This window comes from Homo sapiens, chromosome X (assembly GCF_000001405.40).
Source record: "Homo sapiens chromosome X, GRCh38.p14 Primary Assembly".
Taxonomy (NCBI): Eukaryota; Metazoa; Chordata; class Mammalia; order Primates; family Hominidae; genus Homo; species Homo sapiens.
Genome location: NC_000023.11, coordinates 29,952,289 through 29,975,108, shown reverse-complemented (window position 1 = coordinate 29,975,108; position 22,820 = coordinate 29,952,289). Strand labels below are relative to the sequence as shown.

The window sequence follows — 22,820 nt, the reverse complement described above, 5'->3', positions numbered from 1 at the left end:
GGGAACTGAAAATTAAAACAACTGAACTCATGGCAATAGAGAGTAGAAGGATGGTTTCCAGAGGCTGGGAAGGTTAGTGGGGGAGTGGGAAGTGGGGAGAGTTAATGGGTACAAAAAACAATTAGATAGAGTTAATAAGATCTAGTATTTTATAACACAACAAGGTGACTATAGTCAATAATAATTTAATTGTACATTTTTAAGTAAGAGTATAATTGGATTGTTTATAACACAAAGGATAAGTGCTTGAGGTGATGGATACCCCATTTACCTGGATATGATTTTTATGCTTGTATGCCTGTATCAAAATATCTCATGCACTCCATAAATGTATACACCTACTATGTACCCACAAAATTTTAAAATAAATAATAAAAAAATTTAACAAAAAGAGAAGGAGGAGAGAGGAATGTAATTAGGAGGTGGCAGAGTTAGAATAAGGGAGTTTGGTTCTGTGTGTGAAGACGCCAAATTAAAATGCATACTTCCAGTCTTATGGTGTTCTAGACACTGTGGATAAGGCTCTCAATGGAATGTTCAGTAGACAGTAGTAGGTTAGTGAACAGATTTTAAAGAGAAGAAAAGCTTCAGGTAGGTGAAAATTGACACCATCTTTTCACTCTAAAAAGACCATTGTACCAATTTACCCTTCAGCCTGTAGTTAATAAGCATGCTCATTTCCTCATCTCCTCATGACTTCACCAACACTTGGTGCATCACTTAATTGGCATGTGTAGACTTATTTGCATTTGTTAATATTTTTGAAAAAAAAGTCAACATCTTAGTAAATGTCACTCTTTCTTGAATTGGGCAGTTTCCTCTAGATAAGGTACCCTGGAAGGTTTACTCCTACAGGCCTCTACTTTCATCAGTTCATATTGGTCATCCATATTTACTTTAAAAATCATCCACAGATGAAAGGACTGAGCCCAGTTTCAAATAAAACTTTGTATTTGATCTATATGAACACAGATTTGGGCCACTTTCCTTAATAGGTATCTCAATTTAACTGTAATTGTATTCCATTTGGAATCTCTCTTGGGCACATGTGGCATTTTGCTAAGACTTCTGGCAGCATAGCCACTTAGAGTTCAGTTGATAACATATACTTCTTGATTGAGGAGTTCAGAGAGACTCTATTTAATTGTACTTTCCAGTGCTCGGTGCTGTGTACAAAAGAGCCAAGTAGAGAAGGTTCATCTTTTCCTCTCTGTGGTGCTAATTTGCATATTTAAACATTCTGCGGATGCTCTCCCAGTTGCAGCTCAGTGGCTAATGTTTAAGCACATATTTGCATTTGAAAAAAAAGTTGTGAAAAGGAGGAAAACATACATTTGATCAAAGAAATGCTAATGAGAATTTAATATAGCTTCAGCTTCTTCATTCTTGTTCAAAAGGTTATTATGACCTCTTGGCTAGGAAACTGTATCTGTGCTTTGTACCCAGTTTTGAGGACTTAAGATAAAAAAGTAATTTATGTGCCTCTGAATTTTTATTTATATAAGAAGTCATCCCTGGGGTCTTTGCTTATGGAGGTTTAGCATTAGTTCAATACCAGCAAAACTGAACCTCAATATAAAATCTCCCCCAAATACCTGGCTGTCTATTCTTCTGTAAGCAGAGCGATAAAGTTTTGACTAAAACAAGAAAGAACCCTTATAAATAAAAAGGGGAAGAGGAAAGAAGAGAGAATTTTTCTGCTTGTGTACTTTAAGAAAATTTTGGTGTTAATAATGAGCATTTGAGATTAGACAGTTTTTCCTAGATGCTGATGGCAGCTGTTGATCTTCTGCCTCTCAAAGACCAACCATACCATGGTTTCGTGAGGTGAGACAGTACACTGGGCTCTACATGGAAGCATCAGCCCCACACATCCTTTTTTTCTCACTGATTCTGTGGTAGCCAGTCTTGAAAGATGACTCCTATGAACCACATATTTCTGAATGTATGCCCTAATGTGGCCCCCTCCCGCAGTGAATCTAGGGTAGGCTTCTGACTTGACTCGTTGAAACTGATGTAATGTGGTGAAGGTCATGGTAAACTTTAAGCAGGCCTAGCTGCCTCCACTTTTGCACTTTTGAAAAACTCGAACTTCCATGTGAGAAGTCTAGTAGCCTCCTGGAGGGAGCAGGTAGAGAGGGGCCAAGTGGAAAACAGAGGCCCTGAACTATATGGAGAGGAAGAGAGGTGCAGTCATCTTAGCATCCCAGTTTAGCTTCCACATGACTCTATCCCCATCTCCAATATGACCACAACTGCAGGAGAGGCCCTAAATGAGACCAGTGGAAGAACCACCCAGCTGATTCCAGCTGATACCAGTCAGTTCTCACGAGGGATAATAAAATGCTTGTTTTAAGCCATTGGCTTTTGGGGTGGTTTGTTATAGACCAACAGAGAACTAAATCAATACATTTCTCCCAGGCATCTTTGCACCTGTCTTCCTTCCCAGCTCTTTTTTTGCAAATCTTGGAGAAGTGAGAGGAGACTATTGCATTGGTTCAAACACAGGCATTTCATGCCCATCTTTAATCTGCTACCCCTACCCCCCAAAACCATATAGACCTTGAGTAGCCCATTGCTCTGATACAGCATATCAGGTCCTTAAACTGAGTGTAGATTTTGGTTTGGTTTAGCTTTTCTTACAGCTGATTTGATGAAATACTTAGAGAAGTAAAGATAAATGCTCTTAATTGCAACCTATTAAAGACGTCCTGGAGATCAGTGATAAACTCCAAATCAAATATATTTTGAAAAAAGAAAAAAAGGTGGCCGGACACGGTGGCTCACGCCTGTAATCCCAGCACTTTGGGAGGCTGAGATGGGCGGATCACGAGGTCAGGAGATCGAGAGCATCCGGGCTAACACGGTGAAACCCCGTCTCTACTAAAAATACAAAAAAAATTAGCCAGGCGCGGTGGCGGGCGTCTGTAGGCCCAGCTACTCAGGAGGCTGAGGCAGGAGAATGACTTGAACCCTGGAGGCAGAGCTTGTAGTGAGCCGAGATTGCGCCATGGCACTCCAGCCTGGGCGACAGAGGGAGACTCTGTCTTAAAAAAAAAAAAAAAAAAAAAAGGTGGAATCAAAAGATACTACACATATTTTCATTTAACATTAAAACAAGCAAAATTTTTAATCTGATCCCCAACCTGCCTTCAGTAATATTACCTACTCTTTCAGCATTTAGTACTTACTATGTGCTATGTTATATACACACACACACACACACACACACACATATATATTTACAGTTTATATATACATATAAATTTTAAGCCTGTATTCACAATGTCCCAACAATAATGGCCTTCCTTTTCTTTTCTTTTTTTTGAGATGGAGTCTCACTCTGTCCCCCAGGCTGGAGTGCAATGGCGTGATCTCAGCTCACTGCAACCTCCGCCTCCCTAATAGTTCAAGCGATTCTCCTGCCTCACCCTCCTGAGTAGCTGGGATTACAGGTGCGTGCCACCATGCCTGGCTAATTTTTATATTTTTAGTAGAGACGGGGTTTCACCATGTTGGTCAGGCTGGTCTCGAATTCCTGACCTCATGATCCAACCACCTCAGCCTCCTAAAGTGCTGGGATTACAGGCGTGAGCCACCGTGCCCAGCCAATGGCCTTCCTTTTCTTCCTGAAATACATCCACCTCATTTTTGACTCAAAGTCTTTAAGGCCACATTCCTGGCCTCAAGATCAGTTCTTTGGATGGAATGGCAATTAATGCCAGATCTTTCCCTGGTTGTCCGCTTCTCTTGATTCTACGTCCAGCCATAATTTCACCTCTTGGAAGTAGCTTTCAGTAATAACTATGCAAAATTAACTTCCCCAGGTAGTTATTTCCTATCACATCTTCCTATTTTATACTGTCATTGCATGTATCACTGTCTGAAATTTTCTCACTGATTAAGGGACTTGCCTTTTTTCTCATACTCTACCAGAAAGTAAGACCCCATGGATCAGGAATATTGACTATGTGATTCTCCAATATGTTCCCAGCACCTGGAACAAGGCCTGGCATTAATGAGTGAATGAAGTAAGGAAGGAAGGAACTTTTACAGTTTACCTTCATGAAAGGTATTACTGTCTACTTTTATTTTTTTTTATATAAATGTGGAATTTGAGGGTAAAAGAGATAACATAACATGCTCAAGGTCTCTCAACTTAATGTAAGTGACTTCTCTGCTCTTTACGCTATCCTGCTGTCCCAGCTATGGCTTCCATGTGGTTAAGTTAGCTGATGAAAACTTCTGGCAAATGTAATCTTAAAGGGAGGTCTACTAAAGATCAAAACAGATAAACTGAGTAAACAGCTGCTCTCCTCTGCCAGACCCTTAAAACAAGCCCTGGGAATATTTATCTGGTGCTCTTTCTCCCTACATTTTAAAAGAATAATGAGGTTGACAATGGGTACTTCAATTATTAAACATTATCAGCTCAAATCAATAGGTCTTAATTGTGTATTGAGCTCATTTCACCAAAAGCAACATTTGACCCCAAAGTTGAAGATTTAGGTTATCTTAGACAAAGTGCTCAAGAAGATCAGCTATTCAAAGCAGAGATTTACAAATGAATGCCTGAGAAGTTAATACCCATATTCCAGGCAGAGAGAATCAGGCGTGGCTATATTGTTATATCTGAAGCTATACTATTTAATAAGAGGGTTGGGGCATCTATGAGTCCAGACTAAGAAAACATGAGTAGTCAGAATTTGTCTCTATCTTTCTAGCTCTGTGTAAGGAAGAAAATAACCAGAAAAGAGACAGAATAGCAATTATTTCTCAGTGGTGGAGACAAATCCATCAAGACAATTGACATTAAGTACTTTCTGTTCATTTTCTTCTTTATCATTCCACATTTCTCAAGTTTCTGATTATGACTTGGCTTTCTAACAAGGCAGTGAGAACATTCTGGTCTTTTTGACCACAATTAGTAATTCTCATTTTTTTGAAGACAGAATCTTAAATACCTGGTTAGCATGAGTCTGTCCAAGGGAGAGTGGTCATTCCTAGCTCTGTTAACAGATGTAGACTTTGACAACTCAAGATCAGACTTTTGCACCTTCAACCTTGGCGGCCCACCCAACTGCTACCTTGCTGATCTGTTCTTCACCTGACTCCTTGCTTCTGTTGACACCATCACAGAAAGATTGTATTCTATAATCACAATACAGACCTGGAGCAAGGAAGCACGGAACATTGGAGAAAAGAGAAAAAATCCACTCTGTGGGTGTGTGTTTGTGGTGGGGGTCCTTCCTTTTTCTGTTTTAAGACAGAGATTAGAGAGATGGGTCAAAAAGAAGGATTCTACATTGTTAGTTTGGTCAAATTCTTAGATGAATTATAAGAAAAACAATTAGCATATGCCAATATTTTTGATTCACTCATATTCTACTGAGACAATTGGGGGTGGGTGAAAAAGTAACACCTAAGGGTCAATTCATATGGGTTAATGTTCCATTGTTATTTTGACTGATCTAAATGCTCTTTTACTTTTCCAAATAAATGCCTGTAATACTACTTTGAGCAACTGCATCCACCCACTCTTGATTTTGGCGTTTCCTCGGGGCATGACCTAATACAGTAATAACTGCAAACTTTTACACAGATGTTCAAAATATAGAATAATTGTGCATCATTAAGAAGCAGTAATACGTACCATGGGTATAGAAACATCTGTGATATAACAGAAATTAGGTTTTCATTTTAATGCCTTTGGCCTCTTGGAAGAAATGTTTTCCAAACTTAAAAAAAAAGTCTATATTATTAGTTTATTACTTTTTCACACCTCATTGTGCATCATGTACAATGCATCATGTCTAAAACATGTGATTCTTTTTCTGGTTTTCTTGTCACAAATCTCGTCCCCAGTTAAGAATGCTGTTTTTCAGTTTCTCTATTTTTTCTTAATTAGGAGTTTATAGAACTAACTTAAAACCACTTATTGGATAATACATAGAAAAACATATATAAAAAATCCCCTCATCTTATCTGGAATGATTACCTTCTTAAATGATCTAGCCTCTCATGTTAATCTTCAAGGGACATTTTCTTTTTTTTTTTTTGAGACTGAGTCTCGCTCTGTCGCTCCGGCTGGAGTGCAGTGGTGCAATCTGGGCTCACTGCAAGCTCCACCTCCCGGGTTCAGGCCATTCTCCTGCCTCAGCCTCCTGAGTAGCTGGGACCACAGGCGCCTGCAACCACGCCCGGCTAATTTTTTGTATTTTTAGTAGAGACAGGGTTTCACCATGTTGGCCAGGATGGTCTTGATCTCCTGACCTTGTCATCCGCCCGCCTCGGCCTCCCAAAGTGCTGGGATTACAGGCGTGAGCCACTGTGCCCATCCCTCTTTAAGGGACATTTTCATCTTTGTAGCTACTACTTGATTCCCCAAACCAACTCATAATTACATTTATAGATTTCAATGCTGGGTATCTAAACTAAATATAACTAAATTATAAGGAATATATATGTATATATACAGTAGATATATATATACATGTATATATTTATATCAGAGAGAGAGATATACATAATAAATATTGACCAGGATGCTATTTTCCTAAATATATTTGTTCTCGTAACTTTTCTAATATGTTTACCCCAAGACCTATATTCGCAAACAGGTATACATAGAATTCAAGAACTATCTTCATATATAATATTAATTTTGATGTCATAAATATTTAATAAGAATTATGGGGTGCTATTAACTTATTGTTTTTAATATTAGAAAATCAATATAATTTTAGACTGAAGAATGAAGAATAAAAATGTTTCCAAAGAGAAAACTTTTAAATGTTTTTTAGAATGGATATGGATATATGTTTATGCATCAAATGGTCAACCTCGTTGATAATTATTACTAGCATTATTTTCACAAAAATGGATCTCCTTTTTTGTTTTCAGGATCTACTAACATTGATTAAAAGAAGTTTGCATACGCAACTTATTCACATTGCTTTATTTTTTGTTATTGGTGGTGGTATTGTTCAATTCACACAAAAATGTATTTCAAGTCATCACATCCTTGCATTTAACCAGAGAAAGCGTAATCTTGAAAGAAAACATTTTACAAACTGGACACATACCCTGTTTATTTTCTCTGAAAGTTGCACTCCATAAAGCAAGTCCATCTTTTAAACCTTTCCCAATATTATACAAAAATATTCTTATGCAAGTAATAAATTTATCTTTAAACATCCAACTTTTTGAAATTGAAAGCAGTCACACCAAAAGTTATCATGGTTAATTTTTAATCTAAACATAGAACACCTGTGCTTATACAAACTGCTGTTATGTGCTCATATACTCTTGACATGGATCTGGCAAATATACTCTGCCGTTATGCATTAAATTATGTAAAAAAGGATAATCAGCGCAGAACTTGCCTATTTCTAAACAATGTTCTTTAACCATCCTCATCTTATTTGTTTATATATATAATTTCTTTTTGGAAAAAGATTTAAGGCAAGTGCAATTAAAGTTACAAAATCACTATCTCTATTGCTAACATATGCAGCATTCATATTTAGTGACTGATCTCCTTCCCTCTTAAACATGAAAGTACAAATGCTAAGTATGTTATACTTGCTACAGTCAGCTATATAGTCTTATCTATAAGCCGAAGTTAAAATCTTTAGAGCTATCAACACAAAATTACACTTCTCCAGCACTACACCAGTAGAAATCTCTGCTATCTCCTTCCTGTGATTTCTCAACCATGTCCAGTTTTCTCATAAAGATACACAGTCATTCAGATGCCCATTTTGAAGATGACTATGAATACAAGGTCACCTCATGGTGCAGAATACTTAAGGTGCAGTACTCCAAAATCACCAGTTGTACATTTACTTAATTCTATTGTGTTTCTATTTCACGTCAGTGATGGCACAGATTCTGTAAAGAGGAAACTAAAAATAAATCTTATCAGTAGCTGTATTTCTAAAGTTAGGCTTTGCTGAGGACATGTTATTTGCTGAGGATGTAATTTAAATGGAATCTGAAAAAAAATGTCATTTCACAGCCCTGGAAAAATAAAATTGTCCAAAAGATAGGAAATCCATGGTAATAGCTTTGGTGCTTTCACAGGCTTTTCTTATGGTAGTTGCTGAGTGCAATACCTCCTCAATTCTTTATAAATAAATTATTCAGGGCTACCATGTAATGGAAAAAGTAGAAAATAGAGACAATCATAGAATTTTTATGGGAGAAGTAAGAATGAGCTGACTCTTTTCTTTAAGATAAAATGCATGTCCTTAAAGAAAAGTTAGTTGAACAGAAACCTGGGTATTTATTTTTAGCCTATGCAAAAAGGATTCACTGGGTAATTTCCTGATGGAGTGCATTGCCTTGGGAACTCATAGCTATTTATTTAATGTAGCACATATACTGATTAGGCTTATTTAAAGATATTGATGATGTGCATTTTTCATTTCACAGTACATACACATTACACATGTATGCACACATGTATACCAATTTAGCGCACTAAATGCTTCTCGTTGTCACAGTTGATGATTCTGAACTGTTGTTGTCCAGAATACATTCTGAAAATAAATCAAGCTAAATTGGTATATTTTTCAGTTTAGTGTAGAAATATCAAAGGCTATGCTTCACCCAATAAAATTTACTGTTGAATATTATTTTTTGCATGTTCTAGTGTTATAAAGGCCCAGATGGTAAGAAGGCCTACAGTGACTGTGGAAGTCACTAGGTTATGAGTGGGATCTTTAGAAACTTAAAGCCAACTCTCCAGAAACTCTTTGATGTGGCTACTCTGTGAAGGATGTATAAGAATATTTTTCTTTCAACTAACAACAATCATGTCCTTGAAATATGTATTAATACTTAGAATCAGTGACATGATTGGTTCATGAGAATCTTACATCAAATAATACATTCTCCTTAAGAAACATAAGCTAACAACCTCAACTCTGGTAGTCATTTCAGGCAAAACAAGGAGTCTAGAGATCAAAATTAGCCCAGTAAAATAAACATACGTGGCTGGAACTGTATTGTCAGAGTAAGCGATTGAAGGATAAAATAAAGAACCAACTGGTTTGTCATCGTTGCGTAGGTTGTCATTTTGCTGAAAAAATGCAAGATAATGCGTTTAAATGATCATCTCATGTAGAATTAACTACATTTATTGGCACTGTAAGAAGATAGCCTTGTAGTTTATGACATTTACTAGAATAATGCTCCCCAAATTACATGATTGTAAAAATTTCCTGGAGTTCAATTGTTTTGGAATGTGAGCCAGGAACTCATTCAAGCTTTTAACAAATGCTGTAAGTGATTCTTATGCTAAGCAACATTTGAAAACCCTTCATTGGTGTTAATCTTTTGATGAATTGGTTGTTAACTTGAGTAAACATAATTGTTAATTAAGTCCAACTAATTTAACTAATTTAATATTTGTATATTTATTTTCACAACAAATGTCTTTGGCATTCCTGTCAAATTTTGCTATTTTTAAAAAATAGAAGCTACAGTAGACTTGTATTCTCTCAGAAGGGAGATGTATTGTTATTTAACACTTAACTGTTAATTACTTTTTTTTTTTTTTTTTTGCTAAATGATACAATTACTTTTTTTGAAGCCACATATTCCATGGCAAAGCTGAACTCAGCTTTCTTAACTAATTTTTTATTTTCCTCTTCATGAGGAATTCTCAAAGTGTAATTTTCTATAGTTCAGGTTTTTTAAATCAAGACTTCATCATGAGTTCTGATTAGCAATTTGGGAGGAATTATTTAAAAAGGAAGACCTAGTTTATGGTGATATGTGTCTGCTGGAATCTTCAATTTTGCATTCCACAGAGTGGCGGCATTTTTAATTACAGAAACAACGAATCCTGCACCTGTGTTTTTCAGAGTGGTCTGTGGGCCTCCACATTAGAATCACCTAGAAAGTTTGTTAAGTAAATATATTTTGTGCCCCACTTCAGTCCCATTGAGGCTCAATCTGCATGTGCACTTTTAACAAGCTTTCCAGGCACTTCTTCTGGTGCCTAAAATTGGAGACCTGCATCATTGAATAGTTTTCAACTCTGGTTGTTCTGTGGAATCATGTGAAGAGCTTACTTAAAAAATGCTCACATTAGGTACAAACACAAGACTGCTTGGTTATGTCTGAATATTTGGGACTCCGGGACTTTTTAAACCTTCCCAGGTGATTCTAAGTGAATCTAGGACTTCAAATTCTTGTTAATAGATCCCTTGGAAGGATGCTATGAACTATTTCACCCCTCACCAAATCTTTATGTCACAGTATCAAGCATGCCAAAGTTATTATCTCTATCCATACATTATAATATTTCGTAATACAATTTCTATTTCATTTAGGAAAAGTATACTGAGAAATGGATCTTAGTTCAGCCTGAGACCACCTAAGAAATGACTTGCGTTCTGAGCCCAGTTTTCTTTTCAAGTTCATAATTGTTCTTTATTGCCAAGAACAATATTGTTCCTTTTTATTTTTTATTTTTGTTTTTTTGCTAAGTGGCAGTACAATTACTTTTTAGAAGTCACATATTCCATGGCAAAGCTGGATTTAGCTTTCTTAACTAAATTTATAAAGAGCAATATTGTTCTTTATTGCCAAGAACTATAGAAGTAGGATATTTCTTTGCTTAATTTAAACCAGCTATTGATTTTCATAAACTTATAGTGCTATCATTTATGCTGGCTTTTGTGTGCTTTTCTTTTCTGTTTTTTGAGACGTTTTACCTTTTATTAGTAATTGTTTGTCTATTTGTTTATTTATTCAAGAGGTTAGAAAATTGGCCTCAATTTTTCCATAAACCAGTCATTCACAGTCTGGATGACTTTTGCCATATGTCACCTTTCCTAGAATATTATTTACCTATGTCTTAATTTAAATAACGGTGTATATATATTATTCTACTGTGTAAGCAAAACTATTAAGAGTATCCATAAAGTCTTGAGTTTAATGTAATGTACTAAAGTTTTTTAAAAATACTGGCGATTTTTAAATCAAATACAGAGCTACTCAAATAATAATCTCCCTCTGTGTACCACCAAAACCCAACTGACATATCACTGAGGATAAAAGTATCTAATTTAGTCAAACAACAGTTAGCTAAATTATTGGTCAAATTGAGATGTTCTCTATCCTTCAGAATCTTACTAAACCCTTCACCACATACTCATCTGGGTTCTGCAGTACCTACATTGCCTTAGAATGGTGACACCAGGCATTAAACCTTGATAGAAAATGCAATCTTAAGGAATTTGTTTTAATTACTCTTACAGGCCATATATAAATGCTGAAAATCCCACAGCAATTAAGTGATTGGGTCACCACTATTATGATTTTCTTATTTTTTTCTCATTCTCTGTTTCTATTTTGCCCATATAGAGCTGATATTAATTAGGAATCTTCTGAAGATATCTCATTAATATCAGTTTATCTTTTTTTTCTTTCTTTTTCTTTTTTTTTTTTTTTTTTGAGAAGGAGTCTCGCTCTGTCACCTAGGCTGGAGTGCAGTGGCATGATACTAGCTCACTGAAACCTCCACCTCCCTAATAGTTCAAGTGATTCTCCTGCCTCAGCCTCCTGAATAGCTGGGATTACAGGTGTGCACCACCACACCCGGCTAATTTTTGTATTTTTAGTAGAGATGGGGTTTCACCATGTTGGCCAGGCTGGCCTTGAACTCCTGACCTCATGATCCACCCACCTCGGCCTCCCAAAGTGCTGGGATTACAGGCGTGAGCCACCGCGCCCAGCCAATGGCCTTCCTTTTCTTCCTCAAATACATCCACCTCATTCTTGTCTCAAAGTCTTTGAGGCCACGTTCCTGGCCTCAGCCAGCCTCAGTCTCCCAAAATGCTGGGATTACATGCGTAAGCCACCGCGCCCAGCCCATATCAGTCTTTTAACCACTTGTCAATAGTATGAATGTAATTAAAATTCCTGAGAATTTATGTGTGTGTCTGAAGTGCACAAACAATCCCAAACTTTCTTCAACTATAGAGGTCTCTCCTGATATTTTGAATAATGGGTCATATGCTATAATATGATTCACAATTTAAAATGTACTATGCAAATTATACACTGATTTATGATCCTTATAACATTTTATTTTTTCAATAGTTTATTTTCTCACATTTAAAAATCCTACTGAGGTAGAAATGGCTTTAAGAAAGTTTAAATATGCTAATTACTTTGAAATCCAATCTAAAATAACCTTACGGGGCCTTTTGTAACTATTACTTTAAATTTTCATAATGATTCATGTCTGCTTCATCTTTGATAAGTGTTTCTTAAAAGGCTGTTTCTTTAAGATATGCATTCTGCTTAAACAGCTCATTCATTCTAAGACGCTTATGGTTGTTCACTTGTTATGCTTATGATGGAAAGATTTACCACCATTCTCCTCCTCCCAAATAAATAATAAGGTTATTTATCTTAAACTTAAGAAGTAAGGCCAAAAACATTTCCCTTTAGGATTGACTGTGCACTTCAAGTAGATGCGAACAGAGCAGAAAAACAAGATGATTAAAGATCTTGGTCACTTTAAAATGTTACCTGAGGGGACTTTATTTTAAGGTCATTATGTGAGTAGTACCTTAAAAAGAAAGGAATAAAATACCTGGGGAGCAAGAAGTAAGGAAAGGAAACAGCAAAGAAGGACTCACATGTTATCATTCCTTTCATTTCTGTTTCTCAAATAATTTTATAAAATAAAGGGACAAATGTGGAATTTAACCTTGAGAAAACCATTAATGTGATAATGACTTTTAAGTTACTGAGTTACTGATTCAAACCTCTCCTTAATCCAGTAGTGAAGAAAAAAAAGGGATTGTAAATGGGCTTGATTTTTAAAGAAGGTTTTTCTTTTCTTTTCTTTTTTTCCAGCCAACTGGGCATTCTTAAGTCTCTTTCTTCACCATCACAATAGGAATTAGGCCTAAGAATTATAAGTTTATACAGACATAAAAAGAGGGAAGGAAAAGTTTAACAAGAGTTATCAAATTAACAAACGTACTTACATATGTTCCAACGACACATTATTTAATTTATTTTCATTTATGATCAGGTAGAAACCAGAAGAAACATTTGTAGCTTAATAAATAATTTAATTTCTTGAATTTCTATGTAACATATAAATTTATTTTTACAGGATATATAGAGAGCATACTCATAGAGAGCAACAGACTTATGAAACGACTATAAAACACAAATTATAATTTGAGTTTAAAATTTCTCATTTTTACACTTGTATTTGTCTATTTTCCTATTGCTAGTCAAAGCAAAACCAAATATATAATTGTAAGTATTCTAAGAAAAAAAGCGCCTCCATCACCTACGCATGAGTTACATACATTCTAGATTGTACAAAATCAAGAGGGTAGGCAAAACTAAAGGGAAACACTATGTAAAAATGCACTTTTTACTGACTGTTGAACAGATCTGAGAGTGTCTGAGTTTCAAATCTGACTTGAACACCAGCAGAGGAAAATGACTCCATCAATTTTCCTATTTGGGTTCCCTCAAACTCTGAAACTGTAAAAGTTTTTGCAGTTCAATAGCAGATTATGTGAACATACCTCCACTACTTTGGTGGAAAGAATACACTAAGGATTCTAGTTAAGAGGAGCATATACTGCAAGGAATATGGACAACCACCCATGTATCCTAACATTAAGATGTCTTCATCCCAGTTGAGAATTAACCTAAACGGTCACATCTGATCTCCCCAAATTTAATCTCTCATTGACTAGTAAAGATAGATCCAAATTACTTTGCCACATTTTCATGCACTATGTAATAATGTCATTTCACATTAAATCTTTTTTTAATGACACAGCATGCCCTTTGAAACTTAATGTTATCTGGATTATGAAGGTTAAAATTTACACATCAATATTACATGTAATACTCTCAAGTTCATGTGCAGTTTTTCCGATTCTGTTCATTTAGTAGTGGAGAGAACATAGTGTAATGATTTTTTAAGAGTGATTGCCCTTGTTAAAAAGAGAATATGCTAAACACTTATGGACCACGGGGAATGCATCAATGAAGATAGTGAATGGTAGAAGAAACAATAGTACTTTACTTACTTTAACGAAGAATTCAGAAACATGAGTTTGTCAGTGGACCCAGAGGCTATTTAGAGAAAAATTTTCAAATGAGCAAGAGAAATACATACATACACACACACACACACACACACACACACACAGGCATGTTTTATGTTCTGAGCCTAGAAGGAAGAAATGATACTTGATAGAAGATTGGAATTGAGCTCCAATTTTTTTACATCCAAAATTATATCCATTTTCTATGGATGTGATGGAAATTTGATGATGACAAGGCACATTCATTTAGGATTAGGATTAACTCATCATCATATCATCCTTCTCTTGCTTTATTCAAATTTGGTTAGATCTTAAAGCTCCTTGTGACAGTATCTCAATTTATTAACATAGAATAACCTTTCACCTTGCTACCAATCGCAAGTAAGAGTAAAACTTTAAATAACCACTACCTAACTTTATTCTCAAAATTCTTCATATTCCTCCAAAGTCATATCATAAGTTATGAAACTGGCAAAATCATAATTGTTGAAAATCAAATATATAGCCACTTCTAAATCTTTGCCTAAAAAAAAACTTGGTGGGATTTTCTTTTTTTTTTTTTAGAAAAACATGTCAAATGTTTGTTTCTTCTTTTCCTGTACTGGATGAATTCTTAGTTATGTTGTAGGAAAAATAATTAAACATAAATCATAAATAAATTTACTGAAATAAGGCATCATTGCCAAATGACATAATTTCACACACCCCAAACTATTTTTAGAATGGGTGAAGACATGAGTAAGATTATCACAACAATGATAGCCAATTAGTTTTTATCTGAGCATGAATTATTTGTCATCATACAAAATTTTTGTTTACAGTATGCTGGGTCTCCCACAAAGCCAGGCCATTTTGGAAGGAGACTTGTCTCTAGTAGAACAATAATTATCTCCAGAGTTTTTATGAATGAAGGTAGACAGTGGTAGACAAAACAATGCCTGTAAGTTATGTGGGTTTATCTGAATATCAGTTTCTGAGAATATCTTCTAAATCCAAACATCAGTAGCTTTTTAGGTGCTAGATGTCTTGAGACTCACACCCAGACGAACACCGTTTTACGCACATTAACAATTTTGTCTGGAATTTCAAGGGCTTTGTTATTTTATTCCTTTTTATAGACACAAGGTATCCTTGAACCCAAGATTAAGATCTACTATTAAGGATAATCAAACTTTGATTATTGGTTACCTTCTTTGTTCAGAACAATAAAGAAGTGTAAAGGATTCATGATAAGGCAAGGAATAGCCTCTGTTTCCATTGATAAGCTTCTCCTTTTAGGGATTCTAGTTGCATCACCATCTTTTGGTAATAACTGTATATACTGTTAGAAAAGTTCCTCAGCAATAGGGAATGTGTGTCTGTCTGTAGATGGGATTTCTAACCTATTTAATAATATTTCACCTCTATTAATCAGCTATGTCAATAATGAGATTAATGACCAAGCAAGTTCAGATCAGAGACAGGAAGGGATTTTCCTCTTCTATGTCTGTGTATTCTCTTACTTCCAGTCAGTCATTTCATTTGTATGCTGATGCTATCCTTTAAATTTCAATATGCTTTCTTCTGGGACTAATGTTACAAACTTAACCTAATAAATAAAGAAATTAATCACAAGATTAAAAAAATACTCCTTACAAAAAAGAGAACTAGGGCATCATTCCAGAATCCAAAAATAATTCACAAATGTATGAATCAATGTTTTCCTAGAAATGGTGATCTTAATTTATATAAATGATATCTGAAAAGTTAATGACTATTCTAGGATAAACAAGACTTACAGTTTAAGGGTTGGCTCTCAGTTAATATTCTTGTTATAAAATGCTAGATAGCAATGAAATATGGAAGAAACCAGCATCTATATTTTAAGATTAAGTTGATAGGGTCCAAATACATATACTATGAAGAAAGTTATAATCACAAAGTGGTTTACTGTTTGAGCAATCGAGTGTTTTTAGCTATAGAAATATAGTAGATTCAGGTCTCTTAACTCATGTCTCAGATTTGTTTCATAGAATTGATCTAAACTTAAATCAGCTGTCTACATGAGATACAAATGTCTTCTCTGCCCACAGGAGACCTAAGGAATGCAGTACAAATTAAATAAGCAAAAGTTTTGAGCACCCAAATAAGGGGTAGGATGCTCATAAGCAGCAAGTAGAGGTTACACTAAAGAACCGGATGATCTTTTGAATCCACAATGTGTCGTTCAGAGCTCGAGCGGCAATTGATGAAAAACAGGCAATACCAAACATCACGTATGTCCAAGTCTGGAAGTCCATTCTCTCCCCCAGCTTGGCTAACATATTCACACTTTCAACTGTGTTTTTACAACTAGAATATTCTTATCCCCCACAGCCCCCACTGAAAAAAGCGAAGGATGAAACCTAAGCACTAGGGGACATTGATTTTTTTCTCTTTTTATTGTGAGTTCTAACAGAACTTTTGTTAAACATAGAGCACGTGAACACATGACAGTTTCCTTCATTTCTTCTCACATGGAGCTGATAGAGGAATACTTGGGAGGAATGTTTCTAAAGCTATAGATAGCTTCTTTTGCATTTATTTCATTTTTTAAATATGACAAAGCATTAGAGGAAAAAGAAGTTTCATAAGTTGTGAGAATATCAAATATTACCCATCAATCCCTGAATCATGCTATTCAAAGTGCTTAAATCTACACTAAAAATAGAACAAAAAATGCACTCCCAATGCAGCTAAATTAACACCTATGGATGCCTAAAATATGACTGTGGTCTGATTACTTCCTCTACATTTATTCCACACTTCCATCGTGCACTGAAAAGAAAAATTAAAAAACAAAGAGATAAATCAGGCCATTGCCACGTTTACAGTTTTCTGAGCACTGGGGGAGTTTGGAATCCAGTCCAGTGAGGTACACTGCCACCAGTCCCTGACAGCTGTCCATAGTACAAAGTAAACAATGGCCTTCTCAGATTCTGAAAATAACCCAATGTGCAAAGCTGACCTTAAAGTTTTATGTGTCCTTGCAGCTTCAGTTCTGGTTTGTGAAAATGTGACACAGATCCAAGGGGAGAGCACGGGAATAAAGAACAGATTATAGAGAAGGACACAGGCGAGTTGTCAGGGAAATAAACAATTTTTAAGCAAATAATAATCAATGCACATCCCAAGGCTCCTTTACCTTGTCACACAGATACTGAGACCTTTTCATTGTTACAAATGCTTACACTTCTTCTTCATATATTTGCAAATTAACCTCACCCTCCCCAATGAACCCTATTGCAGTTTACACGTGTGTGTGTGTGTGTGTGTGTGTGTGGCCACCTTACTATTGTGACCAAAAGTGTAGAATTGTTTTCTCACTAAATGGTGGTAGGAATAAACCAAACGTACGATAGTCACTACACAGGCCCACAGATGATGACTGGGATGGGAGTTCCTACAATGAATCACTAAATTAATGTATAAGTTCTATTATCAGTGTTTTTATCACATTGATTTTTTTTAAAAACTAAAAGCTACATAGGTAATATTTCCTTTTAACAACTCTGCCCTCTGCAGATTCCTTTGTGATTGATTTTGCATCAACCTTCACATGAATATGAATTAGCTGCTTATGTCATTGATTTCAAACATAAAGCTAAATGGTAAGGGATGAACTTCTTGGGAGCATCAGCTTTCTGTTTTCTGAAAGATAGAATTACATAGCTAAAATAAAGCAAATTCTTTATACAGTAAAATTAATTATTTTAAATACTTTCTGATCTAATTTAAAAACTATTTTGTATAAATAATGTTTATTTTGAAAATACTGATCTCTGTTGGTATTCATATGTTTGACCTCCTGAGTTCTTAAACACCTTGATATTAATAAGTGTTGCTTATGTCCACAAACTGAAACCACTTAATTCTTAATGTAGTGTTGAAAATTAAATACAAGGGAGTTAACATTTAATTACAAGGGGGCCGCACAATAAGTTTCACAGATTTTCTCTGACTCTTTAGAAAATAACATTTTGTATAATACAAGGTGACAAAACATATTTGATGACACATCCTGTCCTTCCCTTTGGTTTGGAAGCCTTCAGTGTAAATTTCATTTTGACTTGCGTTGATTCACTCTTTTGAATTAACTTGCCTGGCATTTGCACAGAATCTCATTTGCAGAGAAATTATAGAGGGAAAAGAGGAAGTAGAAGATTAAACAAAAACAGCCACAAACACATTCATGCCTTTCCAGGAAGTGATCAAATATAGGGCTTGATTTTTTTTTTTTTTTGTTTTTGTTTTTTGTTTTTTTTTCTTTTTTTGTTTTGTTTTGTTGTTTTTATATATATTTATATTTATATATATATGTATATATATATAAGGGTACATCAACTCATTTAAAAAACGGAAATAACACTCTTCCCCAATTTCATGCCCTTGATCTTCTCTTCTTAGTACTCTGTAGTGGTCACTGTGAAGTGATTAGCACACCTTTGGGTCTAGAGTGTATTCTGAAGAGCAGTGACTTGAATGTTAAGACAGTTAGACCCGCCCCCACCCCTGCACAGAGTTTACACATCATGCCGCCATTAGAAAGGTAGAGGTGGGGAATGAGGTGGGACAAGGAAGAGATTCAGGGCTCTGACTGGTGGGGCCCTCCTATGAACAAGTGTTCTTCTCATCTTTTTTTTTTTTTTTTTTTTTTCCCCCGAATGGCAATGCTGGCATTTGTTGCACTGTTCTCTGAAGGCCGACGTGGCCCAGTTGATGCTAGGCAGAACCCGAGAAAGAATCCGGTGCTCCTTGTCCCATCGGATAGATTTGTCCAAGCACCCCAAGGAAATGTTAAAAGCAAAGTAAAATTTTAAAAAAGGAAATAAAATAAAAACCCATTCTAAAACTAAACTAATGAAGCAAAAAAAGGGTTTTCTATCTACACATCAGTCTCTTCTTTAAAAAAAATGTAAATTTACAAATTCCAACGACATATAAAACAAAGTCAAAAAATGTAATGGTAAAAGACATGGTAAAACAGGAGGACACTGATGCTACAAAGAAATTCCAAAAAACATATGTACAAGACCCTGTTTTTCCTCGTGTTCTAGAGATTCTAATGCATGTTTTTTAACAGCAGCAGTCGAGGATTTAGTTCCAGGCACTGGACTGCAGATTCCACTCAACCTCCCAGGGACGGGATGTCCCTTGCTTTTCTGTCACCATATCACACTGGATATACTGGTCTCCCTTGGCAACAGCGGCAGGATGGCACTGTTTGTGTGGGCCTCATCTGGATTCTGCTCCCTGCTCGATTTTGTCTGTGGCCGCTGCCCGTTGATGAGTGTCATAGGGATGTTACAGTAGGTATGCTGATTGCCTATGGAGGTAAGAGGCAGGGTGCCGGTAGGAGGTACGTCGTACTCATAGCTTCGGTAGTAGTGTTTCTGACGCATTTGTGAATGGTACGTGTTGTGAAAGGTAGAACGGAGATCTGGATGGGCAGTGGCTAGAGCTGTGGAGGTGGCCGCGGCCATGGAAATGGCCGAGACAGTCTGCAGCTCCCCAAAAGGCCCTTGCTCACTGACATCTAAAGCCTGCTCATGTGTAATGGGTTCTATCCTCTTAAAAGGCATTTCATACTGTAAACGTTTCCAGAACTTGGAGTTCAACTTGTTGCATTTTGGTCCATGCCATTTAATGACCGTCAGGAGCTTGATGGTGTGCTTCAGGGCCTCCACCTCCTGGTAGTTCATAATTCCTCTCAGTTCACTGCATTCAATTAGAATCACTTTAATTTCTCCAGTCACAAGCATATTTCGAAGTCTGGTTTCCAGCTCAAAGATGCTCCAGCCCCTTCTAACTACGTAATTTGGGGTCATGACAATAATCAGCCGCTTGCTTTGATCTACACATCTTGCCACATCTTCAATGTATGCTACAAAAGATAAAAGAGTGCATCAAAATGAGTGAATGGAAAATTTGGTCCAGAAAGTCCTAGTAGATTCTCTTTCAGAAATTAAATGAAACTAGTTCACTGAATAGAGTTTGGGACTTGCTTCTCCTAATGTCAGCAATATTTTTTTTTCCCGGTACAAATCTCTCATTTGGTTTCTTTCAATGTCAAGGCTCACAAAATGAGATGCTTTATACAGTAATGGAGTATCTTTTCTCTGAGCTAGCAAAAATTAAATTTCATGTGAACACACAAAGACGTTTCTTTCTAGGGAAACTAACAGATACAAATTTTGAAGTAAAGAACCAAACATTAAAATTCCATGAAAAAGTGATGACTACACAGACACTCACATGAATATGCACACTCTCAAATGAAAACATTAACTTACTTCCAGTTGGGATTAAATCTCTATCTGGTATAAACAACTTATATCCATAATGCTTTTCAAGCATATCAGGTAGGATTTCAAGGGCAAAACGTTCTTCTTCCCCAGTCTCTTGATTCCACTGGTCAGGATCCACTTTGGTGTATGATAAGTATGCATCATAATCTTTATTGTCTGTCAAAAAATTCCAAAGAAAAGTCGAAGTCACTACTCTACAAAGATAACAATAGGACATGAAAACATGCACTTTTTTTCATAAACGTCTCCAAATGTCCCATTTCTGAAAGACCGAAAAATGAAGCCTTCATTAAGTTTCATTGAGTTCAATGATTCTAAAACTAGTTTGGAGGTACAAAGGGTTGAATTTTGATTTGTTGTTGTGAAAAAAGTAGGAGAAAAATCAATGAAAAGAGTAATGAAATGCAGACTTCCTTTTTTTTTTTTTTTTTTTTTTTTTTTTGGGACACAGTCTTGCTCAGTTGTCCAGGCTGGAGTGCAGTGGCGTGATCTTGGCTCACTGCAACCTCCACCTCCCAGGCTCAAGCCATTCTCCTGCCTCAACCTCCCGAGTAGCTGGGATTATAGGTGCACGTCACCACACCCAGCTAATTTTTGTATTTTTAGTAGAGATGGGGTTTCACCATGTTGGCCAGGCTGGTCTTGAGCTCCTGACCTCAGGCGATCCACCCTCCTCAGCCTCCCAAAGTGCTGGGATTACAGGCGTGAGCCACCGCACCCAGCAGAATTTCACCATTTTTGATGCACAGATCACAGAGAATCTTGACTGCTTGTAAAAGCCATATGTTTGGATATCAGTATGCTCTTACGTTCAACTGATTCTACCCTTGGCCATTTTACCCAGTTGAAAAAAGAGAGAGAAAACGGCAACTGACTTAATTGTGAATGAATGATTTTTTAGATTATGTGTGCTGTGTTGATTTTCTGTTGGGGAGAAAATAAAACCAAACTTGTGAGAATTAATTTTTTACTAGGAGTCAGTTCTTGCATATTGGGATGGAGAATATTATTAAAATGAATGATTATAGAAAGACATTATTTTTCTGGTCTCCACTCATCTTACACATAAAATATTGCCAAGTTATTTTTCATCATGCTAATCAGTTTGTTCATAAGAATCAAGAAGTAGAATGTAAGTAAAAGAAACTTAGTTCTAAAATCTCATTTCTCTCCTTACTCTTCCCCCTTTTTACATGAGAAAATTTTAAATATTTGAGGACTACTATCAATCATTTGTTATCTTTATCTTAATTTTTCTAATATACCATCTCAGATTTCTCACTTGTTGTTTCTAAGAATAAGAAATCATTTATCTTCCGGATAGTCTTTCTTTGGTCAATTTCCTTTTTCGACTAAGATATCAAGATTCATAGTTCACTTAAATTTTAAATACTGTTGATATGCTGAGTCTACCAATATCAATGTCTTTAGCTCTCTATTGCACTTCCCTGATGATAGGCAGTGTATTACTTGATGATTAGATCAAGTTAAATTGAAACACTCATAAATTTCAGAATAAAATGAACTCTGCATTAAGCATAGAACTTAAAATATTTGGGCTATGAAACATCAACGATAGAGGGACATTCTTCACCATTGTTCTGGGTGGCTTTGGGACAATCCTTTTGACTTCAAGGACACTAAAATTCACTTCCTGAGATATATACATGTGTGTTAATTCTAGTAGTCTGATAATTTTGAGCCATCTAGAAATCATTCTATGATTATAACTTTTCAGGGCAAACTCAGAAAAGTGTTTGCTACATGTAAAGTTAACACAGGTATATAAGGCACTAACAACTTCACTATAGGATACTTGGAATAAAAACTTCAGCTATAGAAGAGTTTTTTAAACAGCAGCTTTTAGGGCAAAAAAGTTTAAGAAAAACAATCATACCAAATGTGTCATATTTTGGCATTTCCTTTATTCTTTAGCCAGCATATAGTTGTACATTTTAAAAAACAAAATCTAGTTTTCTCCAAAAATAATTATTATATTTGCTATAGAAAAGCTATATGCCCATAGGCCAGTACAATCTATAATTGTACCACTCATTGATGTAAACACTTTAGTTGAGTAAGAAATCATGAAAGCACACAATAAAGTCAGTACATAATATCGGTTAATAATTAATTAAAATATTCATTAACTATTCACATGCATTACCTATGAGATATTAAACTTTCTTTACAATATTGGTCATTAGTTTCTAGCCTAGCAGGAGATGCAGACAAATAAATAGTACATTCCTAAGAGATAAATGTATTACTAAGGGTAGTTCAGGAGTCACAGGCTAATAATGGAAGGACTCCTCAGGCCAGATTGTGGATTGTAGTATTATTTTGGGCATATGCTATTTTCTTTCTGGTAATCTGTTCTTTTCCAGTT

The 22,820-nt window shown here is 35.7% G+C and overlaps 1 protein-coding gene across 3 annotated transcripts in view; it reads right to left on the bottom strand.

The window, feature by feature from the left end:
• The window catches only part of IL1RAPL1 (interleukin 1 receptor accessory protein like 1), a 1,369,273-nt gene continuing 1,364,843 nt past the window's right edge, over positions 18,391–22,820 (bottom strand). For all 3 annotated transcript variants that reach the window (NM_014271.4, XM_017029240.2, XM_017029241.2), the window contains 2 exons: positions 20,417–20,587; positions 18,391–20,007 (listed from right to left, as the gene is read on the bottom strand). In NM_014271.4, the coding sequence (NP_055086.1) occupies positions 19,289–20,007; positions 20,417–20,587 (890 nt within the window). In that variant the 3' untranslated portion in view covers positions 18,391–19,288. The remainder of the gene's footprint in view (positions 20,008–20,416; positions 20,588–22,820) is intronic.